Here is a 9,175-nt window from a genome sequence, read left to right as displayed (position 1 = left end):
GTCCCCAAACATCCTATGACACATCTTTCCAAGCCAGTGGCTAGAACCATACCTGAGACAGGGGGATGCAGGTGGTGGCACTTCACACTGAGTGCAGCTCAGAGACAGGATTTCATCCTTACAGTCAAGTGCCCTTCTGGAGCGGCCAGAGGCCTACAGAAAAGGTCAGAGAGGTGATTTCAGAGGACTTCAGTGTGGCCAAGCAGGAAACCACACAGTCCCAGCACTATTCACAACACCCGTCAAAGTAAGAGAAACAGCCCACCAAGTAAAACTCCCAAGTCAAATCTGACTTTACAAAGGCATGATGATTGAGGCACAGCAAGATACCTTTTTTTTCCCTGTAAGCTGACAAAGAGTAAGAAATTTAAATAACACCCAGTGCCATCGAAGATACCGGTGAAGATGTGTAAATCGGGTATAGCAGCCCAAGTGACCTTGTTAAACTGTAAATCAGATAATGTCCCTCCTATATGCCAGAATTTCCAGTGGCTTCCCATCTCAATTGGAGAAAAAGCCCCTATATTAGTCTACCAGGCCCTTTCCAGCTTTGGTTGTAGTAGCAAAAACTGAAATCTAAATGTCAATAGGAAACTGATTACATAAATGATAATGGCACATCTTTACAATAGTCAATTATATACAGCAGTTAAAAGGAATGAAGGTGATGACCAAGATATATTAATAAATCAATAACAATAAAAGCAAGATGCAGAACAGTATATATAACATTATTGCATTTAGGTAGAAAGTATTATATATGTTATATCATATAGTCTATATAATATGTATATACATACACATATATACATACATACGTAGAGACAATTTTGCAAAGCATATGTAAGAATGTCTATACTTCTGTCACCAATAGATATAGAATAAACAAAAACAAACAACAATGCTGATATTTCACTTCTCCAACCCAGTGGCTAGAATCATACTTGAGGCAGGGAGATATGTATGGTTGCTTCTAGGAAAGCAAATGCTTATTTTTCACTTCATCTATTTTGAAACTTTGAATTTTGCCTGATGCAGTGGTGCACTCCTGTAATCCCAGCACTTTGGGAGGCTGAGAAGGGAGGATTGCTTGAGACTAGGAGTTCAAGACCATCCTGGGCAACATAGCAAGACCCTGTCTCTAGTAAAAGAAGTATTTATAACAAACCCACAGCCAATATCATAATGAATGGGCAAAAACTGGAAGCATTCCCTTTGAAAACCAGCACAACACAAGGATGCCCTCTCTCACCACACCTATTCAACATAGTGTTGGAAGTTCTGGCCAACACTTGCAATCAGGCAAGACAAAGAAATAAAGGGTATTCAATTAGGAAATGAGGAAGTCAAATTGTCCCTGTTTGCAGATGACATGATTGTATATTTAGAAAACCCCATTGTCTCAGCCCAAAATCTCCTTAAGCTGATAAGCAACTTCAGCAAAGTCTCAGGATACAAAATCAATGTACAAAAATCACAAGCATTCCTATTCACCATTAACAGACAAACAGAGCCAAATCATGAGTGAACTCCCGTTCACAATTGCTACAAAGAGAATAAAATACCTAGGAATACAACTTACAAGGGATGTGAAGGACCTCCTCAAGGAGAACTACAAACCACTGCTCAACGAAATAAAAGAGGATACAAACAAATGGAAAAATATTCCATGCTCACGGATAGGAAGAATCAATATCGTGAAAATGGCCATACTGCCCAAAGTAATTTATAGATTCAATGCCATCCCCGTCAAGCTACCAATGACTTTCTTCACAGAATTGGAAAAAACTACTTTAAAGTTCATATGGAACCAAAAAAGAGCCCACGTTGCCAAGACAATCAATCCTAAGCAAAAAGAACAAAGCTGGAGGCATCACGCCACCTGACTTCAAACTATACTACAAGGCTACAGTAACCAAAACAGCATGGTACTGGTACCAAAACAGATATATAGACCAACGGAACAGAACAGAGGCCTCAGAAATAACACCACACATCTACAACCATCTGATCTTTGACAAACCTGAAAAACAAGAAATGGGGAAAGGATTCCCTATTTAATAAATGGTGCTGCAGAAACTGGCTAGCCACACGTAGAAAGCTGAAACTGGATCCCTTCCTTACACCTTATACAAAAATTAATTCAAGATGGATTAAAGACTTAAATGTTAGACCTAAAACCATAAAAACCCTAGAAGAAAACCTAGGCAATACCATTCAGGACATAGGCATGGCCAAGGACTTCATGACTAAAACACCAAGAGCAATGGCAACAAAAGCCAAAATAGACAAATGGGATCTAATTAAACTAAAGAGCTTCTGCACAGCAAAAGAAACTACCATCAGAGTGAAAAGGCAACCTATAGAATGGGAGAAAATTTTTGCAATCTACCCATCTGACAAAGGGCTAATATCCAGAATCTACAAAGAACTCAAACAAATTCACAAGAAAAAAACAACCCCAACAAAAACTGGGCAAAGGATATGAATAGACACTTCTCAAAAGAAGACATCTATGCAGCCAAGAGGCACATGAAAAAATGCTCATCATCACTGGTCATCAGAGAAATGCAAATCAAAACCACAATGAGATACCATCTCATGCCAGTTAGAATGGCGATCATTAAAAAGTCAGGAAACAACAGATGCTAGAGAGGATGTGGAGAAATAGGAATGCTTTTACACTGTTGGTGGGAGTGCAAATTAGTTCAACCATTGTGGAAGACAGTGTGGTGATTCCTCAAGGATCTAGAAGTAGAAATACCATTTGACCCAGTAATTCCATTACTGGATATATACCCAAAGGATTATAAATCATGCTACTATAAAGACACATGTGCACATATGTTTATTGTGGCACTATTCACAATAGCAAAGACTTGGAACCAACCCAAATGTCCATCAATGATAGACTGGATTAAGAAAATGTGGCACATATACACCATGGAATACTATGCAGCCATAAAAAAGGATGAGTTTATGTCCTTTGCAGGGACATGGATGAAGCTGGAAACCATGATTCTCAGCAAACTATCTCAAGGACAGAAAACCAAACACTGCATGTTCTCACCGATAGGTGGGAATTGAACAATGAGATTACTTGGACACAGGGCAGGGAACATCACACACTGGGGCCTGTTGGGGGGTGGGGGGGTGGGGGAGGGATAGCATTAGGAGAAATAACTAATGTAAATGATGAGTCAATGGGTGCAGCAAACCAACATGGCACATACATACGTATGTATCAAACCTGCATGTTGTGCATATGTACCCTAGAACTTAAAGTATGACTAAAAAAAAATTAAAATTAACTTTGAATTTTTATCCATAGACACAAATTATTATTTTTTTTGAGACAGGGTCTTGCTGTGTTGCCCAGGCTGGAGTGCAGTGGCATGATGTTGGTTCACTGCAACCTCCACCTCCCGGATTCAGGCGATTCTCATGCCTCAGCCTTCCAAGCAGCTGACTACAGGTGCCCGCCATGACAGCCGGCTAATTTTTGTATTTTTAGTAGAGACAGGGTTACACTATGTTGGTCAGGCTTGCCTCGAACACCTGACCTCAAGTGATCTACCCACCTCGGCCTCCCAAAGTGCTGGAATTACAGGCGTGAGCCACCGTGCCCGGCCTCCCAGCCTCACAAATTACTTTTTATAAGTTTTTAAAAACTAGTTTTATTTGGCTTTATCTTCTTTTTCATTGAAAGATGCCACTAAGGTTTTAAGAGAGTGAGTGGTGAGCCTGGGTCAGGGCCCAGATCATGAGGGGCCTTTAAAAATTTAGACTTCATAGCATTTTGTTTGTTTGTTTGTTTGTTTGTTTTTAGAGATAAGATCTTGTCCTGGCTGGAGTGCAGTGACACAATCACAGCTCACTGCAGCCTTGAACTGTTGGGCTCAAACAATCCTCCTGCCTCAGCCTCCTGAGTAGCTAGGATTACAGGTGCACACCACCACACCTGGTTAATTTTAATTTTTGTAGAGACAAGGTCTTTCTATGTTGCCCAGGCTAGTCTCGAACAGCTGGGCTCAAGCGATTCTCCTGCCTCCGCCTCCCGAAGAGCTGAGAGCCACCACTCTAGGCCTTTATAGCACTTTTCAAAGGAAAGAGTGTATGGAAGAAAGAAGTTCCTTTCTACTTTCTTAGAGAAATGTAGTATCTACCAAGTTTTCTCTGCTTTCCTCTTTGACTTTTTTTTCCAATAACCTCTCTTACTCCCCTCCTATCTTCTTTCCACAAATGCATATCCACCATCACATGCCAGACCCTGGGGGATCCAGTGATGGATAAAGCTCACCCTATTTTCAGAGCAGAGGCAAAGTTAGTTGGAATTGGAAATGTGTAAAGCTTTTCTTTGTTCAGTGAGTCTTTTCATTATTTAAAATAGAGAGCAGCTTTGCGGTTTTCTCAAATGCTCTGGAAAAAACTGAAAGAGGATTGAGAGCAATTTTAAAAGGAGGGGGAGCACAGTTTTCCAAATACATTTCGAAGGAAAAGAGGGGGAAACCTGTGGATTAAAAGAGACTTCTGAGATATAGCAACGGATTTCAATATCTGGATCTTACTTGGATCCTGATTCAAATAACCAAAGTGTAAAAAAGTAAAATTTATGATATTTATGACACAACTGAATATTTGAAAGCTGATTCGATATTTGATGATATTAGGGATTTATTGTTAATTATGTTAAATTTGATAATGGTATTGTAATTATATATTTTTAAGTTCTCTTTTAAAGATACATAAGGAAATATTCCTGGATAAAATGTTATGCTATCAGGGATCTCCATCAAAATAATATGTGGGGAGAAGTCGGTAGGGGTGTACATGAAACGAGATGAGGATTGCATTGACAGCAGAAACTGGGTGAAGGGCACACAGGGATTTATTATCCTAATCTCCCTATCTTTGTCTATGTTTGAAAATTTCCATAATAAAATTTTTTTTCAGAAGACAGAAGGGTCATATTTATGATTGACTTCTGCTTTGGTGAAAATAGTGAAATAGGGAGGAGGTAATGATGAGAGGAAGGGGCTGGAGCTTGGAAGTATGATTTGGGAGTGAACAGTCTCCAGACTACAGGGGCAGAAAGGGAAATGCAGGGCAAAGGACATCATGGGAGTATGAGAAGAGCGGGAAGAATGCAAAAGAGAAGTAGGCCCACTGCTCTTCCCCCACCCCTCAGCCTTTTCTTCACTTACTCATTCCCTATCCCTTATCTCTGTAGATGAAAAATCATCTTGGGGCCAAATGTAGTGGCTCATGCCTGTAATCCTGGCACTTTGGGAGGCCAAGGAGGGAGGATCGCTTGAAATCAGGAGTTCAAGACCACTCTGGGCAACATAGTGAGACCCCCATCTCTACAAAAAATTTAAAAATTAGCCAGGCATGGTGGCACATGCCTGTAGTCCCAGCTACGTGGGAGGTTGAGGTTGGGGGGGATTGCTTAAATTCAGGAAGTCAAGGCTGCAAGAAGCCATGACCATGCCACTGCACTCCAGCCTGGGTGACAAAGACCCTGTCACCACACACACACACACACACACACAAAATCACCCTGGGAACTTAACAGCAAAGATTCTCAAGCACGAAGTCATGAAATTTCATTTCCATTTCACTTGGCAAGGTCTGGGAATCTGCATTTTCAACACGTGCTCTGGGAGATTGAGATATCTAGACTTCCCTTTGAGCTCCCCAGTACCTAGCCCCTGTGAGAGCCATGGTTTTTCTGTCATAAACCTTTCCTCTGTCAGACTGGGGATCAAACACTGCCTTTCAAAGCCTTTGGGACAGCAGTCCACTGTTTCAAGGCAGGAAAAAATAAAGGGAATGAGAGATTATGCAAAGGAAACTATTTATTGATTTCCTTTAATGTGTGTGTGGAAACACGCAAATGCTGAGGGTCGTTTGAGTGGGGAAAAGAAATTCATCAGCCAGTGATGGCTTGAAAGACACCCCCTTTAAAACCTTCTAACCTTTGTGCTGATGTTCTCTGATGTTATAGTCACTGAACAACCTTCTGATTTGTAATGGGATTCCACTAAGGAGGAAAAACAAACAAACAAACTAGTTGCCCTAAGTAACACAGTCCTCCTGGTAGCTGTGCCTTTTATCATCAATTTAATATATTGATTTTTTGCTTTCCAAGTCTCCCAAAGCCTGTTATTCAGAAGAACTAGGTCACAAGATTTGATCATCCATCAGTGAACTAACTTAAGCTTTAGGGTTGGGTAAGGTAATGAATCAGACCCTGCAACTGAGCCAGAATTACCACGAGGACAGTAACCCTATGGCTAAGTCGTTGTCACATTAGGGGTAACTAGACACTTGCTTACCCACACATTCTTGGCCACATCCCTCCCAATAGGGCAAGATTAGAAATCATGACTAAGTTATCAGGCTGCAGCCTTACTTACCTGGAGCCCAATGCCTGCTCAAGCATAACTAGGTCTTGACATGGTGAGATCAGCCAGGTTGGGGAAAGAAGTTTTGAAGCAAATAGGGCAGTCTGCAGGGCCCTGGCCCCAGTGCTGGCAGGGATATTCCCAGGGACAGGAAAAAACTACAAGCAACTGGCCCCACAATCTCCCACATAACAAGCTGTGAGAAGTCAGACAGATTTGTCTGTTCAGTTCAAAGCATCCTCCTTCCTCGTCCCATCTCCTAATCTCGCCCCATCCTATCAGCTAAAAGAAAAAGGCAAATGCCTGAGGCCTTCTAGAGGCCTTTCTGTACTCACTTTGTAACCTATGTGGTTCCACATTGTTCTTTGAACCGTAACTACCCAGGGGCCTGCTGGCATCCATCTAAGCCTATCTCTAGCTGGGATTCCCTGGCTCCCTACATGGTTAGAAAGAAAGTCACCTCTTGCCCTCTTAAGGACCTCACTGAGGCACAGACTACAATGGAGACACCAGGTGGCCAGAGTGGCAGGCAAGAGCCCATGTTGCCTTACAGGGAAATCTGAGCACGCATGCCTTGTCCAGGGTGAGAGGAACGAGGGCCCTCTGCTTCCCTCAAAGAGGGGATAGGGGAAATAAAGTGAGCATTTGGGCTGAGGAGACCAAGAGGCCAAGTCTTGAGGTAAATTGGGCTCAGGTCAGCTAAGAAGGATATACAAAGCATACCTCAGCCAGGAATTACAGTTTTGGGGTTTTTCCCCCCAAGATTCTCGTGCGTTAGCCTCCCAAGTAGCTGGGATTACAGGCACTCGTTACCATGCCCGGCTAATTTTTGTATTTTAGTAGAGAGCGGGGTTTCACCATGTTTCCCAGGCTGGTCTCAAACTCCTGACCTGAAGCGATCCGCCCACCTTGGCCTCCCAAAGTGCTGGGATTACAGGCCTGAACCACCACGCCCGGCCAGGATTTGTAGTTCAGGAATTGCAGTTTAAAAAGAACAGGAAGAGGATTCTGTCAACCGGTTCAGAGGATACGAGAGAGGGGGCTAAAGAGTGACGAGGAAAATAGCAGGAAGGGTTGGGCTCGTGCACCGACGGGGCCCAGGGGAGTGAGGGGACAAAAGTGTGAAGCGGACACAGAGTCACCGGGCCAGGTGAGGCCCATGGGTCAGTGGGGCAGAAGGGGAAGGAAAGAGCCCGAGAATGGGGAGAGATTCAGGGCAATGCAGAGAGACACGGCAGGAAACCCAGCCAAGGCTCGAGAGAAGTTGGGGATTTGTGGGAGGAGAGGGGTGGCCGCGGATTGGCCATCGCGAAGAGAGGCCGCGCCCCCTAGCGTCCCTCCGGGATGAGCCAGAACCCTGCCCGGGCGACCCTGAAGCTCTCCAAGGACCGCCCCGCCCAGCGCGGAGTGCAGGCGCCGGATTCCCTTCTGTCGCGCGGCCTTATAGTTCCGGCTGTGGCGCGCGGACGGAAAGTTTATGCCGACGGAAAGTTTATGCCGACGGACTGTGTCCGGCGATGGGCACGGGGTGAGTGGGGAGGCCGAGGGCCCGGGACTGCCTTTCGCTGCTTGTTGGGGTTACAGGTGAAGGGGTTATGGGTGAAGAACAACCCAGGGCCAGCGCTTGGCCTTCCCGCCACCGTGGCGGCCGCCCCGCGCTGTCTGTGAGGCGCCAGTTCCGGGGCGCTGCTCCCGGCCTCCCCTCGCTCTGAGGCTCGGGGTCCCCAGCTCCGCGTAAACTGCACGATTTCGCCCTCTGCTCAGCTCCCCTCTGCCCCCTCTTTCCAAGAGAGACTTCCAGATCCCACATTTTCTTGACTGATTTTTAAGGTAAAAATACATCTCCCAGATGTGATTTTCAGTCTGGACTTTTAGAGATGAAATTATATCTGAGAACTGGGGAGGGACTCCCGGAGGCTGACGGGAAAGCCAAAGAGCAGGTGAGGCACTAGAAATTCAGGTAGAATCCTGCTTTGAGAGCGAGACTGCTGAGAATCAGTTCTTTATGAATGAGCTAATTATCACCTTCAGGGAAGAATTACAAACGTCTAGCTGATGGACACTTGGTATTCAAGGCCAAATAGGTGGCTAGGGCCTATTTCTCAGACTGTTCCTGAGAAAGAAGAGCCCTAGTTGTTTGAACAGTACACGTGGGAAGGGGGTGGGGGTGGGAGACTTGGGGGCTCAGAATCCACCCAAGTGAGGAATACATAGTGTTGTGCTCACAAAATTGGTAGACTGTGGTGGGCAGGGATTCCCCCCCACCCAAGACGGAGTCTCGCTCTGTCGCCCAGGCTGAAGAGCAGTGGCGCGATCTCGGCTCACTGCAACCTCTGCCTCCTGGGTTCAAGCAATTCTCCTATTTCAGCCTCCCAAGTACTAGAACCACAGGCGCACGCCACCACATCTGGCTAATTTTTGTATTTTTAGTAGAGATGGGGTTTCACCATGTTGGTCAGACTGGTCTCGAACTCCTGACCTCGGGTGATCTGCCCGCCTCAGCCTCCCAAAGTGCTGGGATTAAAGGCGTGCCTGGCCTTTTTTTTTTTTAATCAGGCCTATACTGCTTGAGTGAACTATCCTTCAGGAACTTTCAGTTCCCTCCTTTACTCCAACCTGAGTACTAAATTGATCTCCCACGACTTTGTAACTGTTAATGAGGTGCATTTGGGAGTCGACACAAATGCATCACTTGGGAGAAAGAGCCAGCTCCAGAGGTGTCTTCAGAGAAGGCAAGACTGCCAGCTGTCATCACTGTCAACAGCAGA

At 44.8% G+C, this 9,175-nt stretch overlaps 2 protein-coding genes across 36 annotated transcripts in view, besides 2 other annotated features; one reads left to right on the top strand and one right to left on the bottom strand.

The window, feature by feature from the left end:
* SLC24A1 (solute carrier family 24 member 1) overlaps positions 1 to 7,683 on the bottom strand; it is a 49,653-nt gene extending 41,970 nt beyond the window's left edge. For 18 of the 26 annotated variants that reach the window (XR_007064494.1, XM_047433330.1, XM_011522222.4 and 15 more), the window contains exons 1-2: positions 6,420 to 6,453; positions 53 to 153 (exon numbers count right to left, since the gene is read on the bottom strand). The gene's annotated coding sequence lies outside the window, so the exon portion shown is untranslated. Of the gene's footprint in view, positions 1 to 52; positions 154 to 6,419 lie in introns of all 26 variants that reach the window. The other 8 variants (XM_024450105.2, XM_047433325.1, NM_001301033.2 and 5 more) reach the window with 7 other exon arrangements.
* Positions 19 to 604: an enhancer, noted in NCBI's record as "OCT4-NANOG hESC enhancer chr15:65910767-65911352 (GRCh37/hg19 assembly coordinates)". NCBI's record gives its function as "activates a minimal SCP1, AML or CMV promoter by ChIP-STARR-seq in naive H9 embryonic stem cells {active_cell/tissue: H9 hESC(naive)}" and the evidence as "EXISTENCE:reporter gene assay evidence [ECO:0000049][PMID:30033119]".
* Positions 7,825 to 7,984: an enhancer, noted in NCBI's record as "active region_9602". NCBI's record gives its function as "activates an Ori minimal core promoter by ATAC-STARR-seq in GM12878 lymphoblastoid cells {active_cell/tissue: GM12878}" and the evidence as "EXISTENCE:reporter gene assay evidence [ECO:0000049][PMID:35858748]".
* The window catches only part of INTS14 (integrator complex subunit 14), a 32,375-nt gene continuing 31,101 nt past the window's right edge, over positions 7,902 to 9,175 (top strand). For 6 of the 10 annotated variants that reach the window (NM_001207059.4, NM_001207058.4, NM_001366360.3 and 3 more), the window contains exon 1: positions 7,902 to 7,935. Coding sequence is in view for 1 of the 10 variants with exons in the window: in NM_001394795.1 (NP_001381724.1) it covers positions 8,285 to 8,347 (63 nt within the window). In the remaining 9 variants the exon portion in view is untranslated. Of the gene's footprint in view, positions 8,348 to 9,175 lie in introns of all 10 variants that reach the window. The other 4 variants (NM_001366365.3, NM_001394794.1, NM_001394795.1 and 1 more) reach the window with 2 other exon arrangements.

Source organism: Homo sapiens, chromosome 15 (genome assembly GCF_000001405.40).
Source record: "Homo sapiens chromosome 15, GRCh38.p14 Primary Assembly".
Classification (NCBI taxonomy): domain Eukaryota; kingdom Metazoa; phylum Chordata; class Mammalia; order Primates; family Hominidae; genus Homo; species Homo sapiens.
This window is presented reverse-complemented; position numbering and strand designations above follow the sequence as displayed.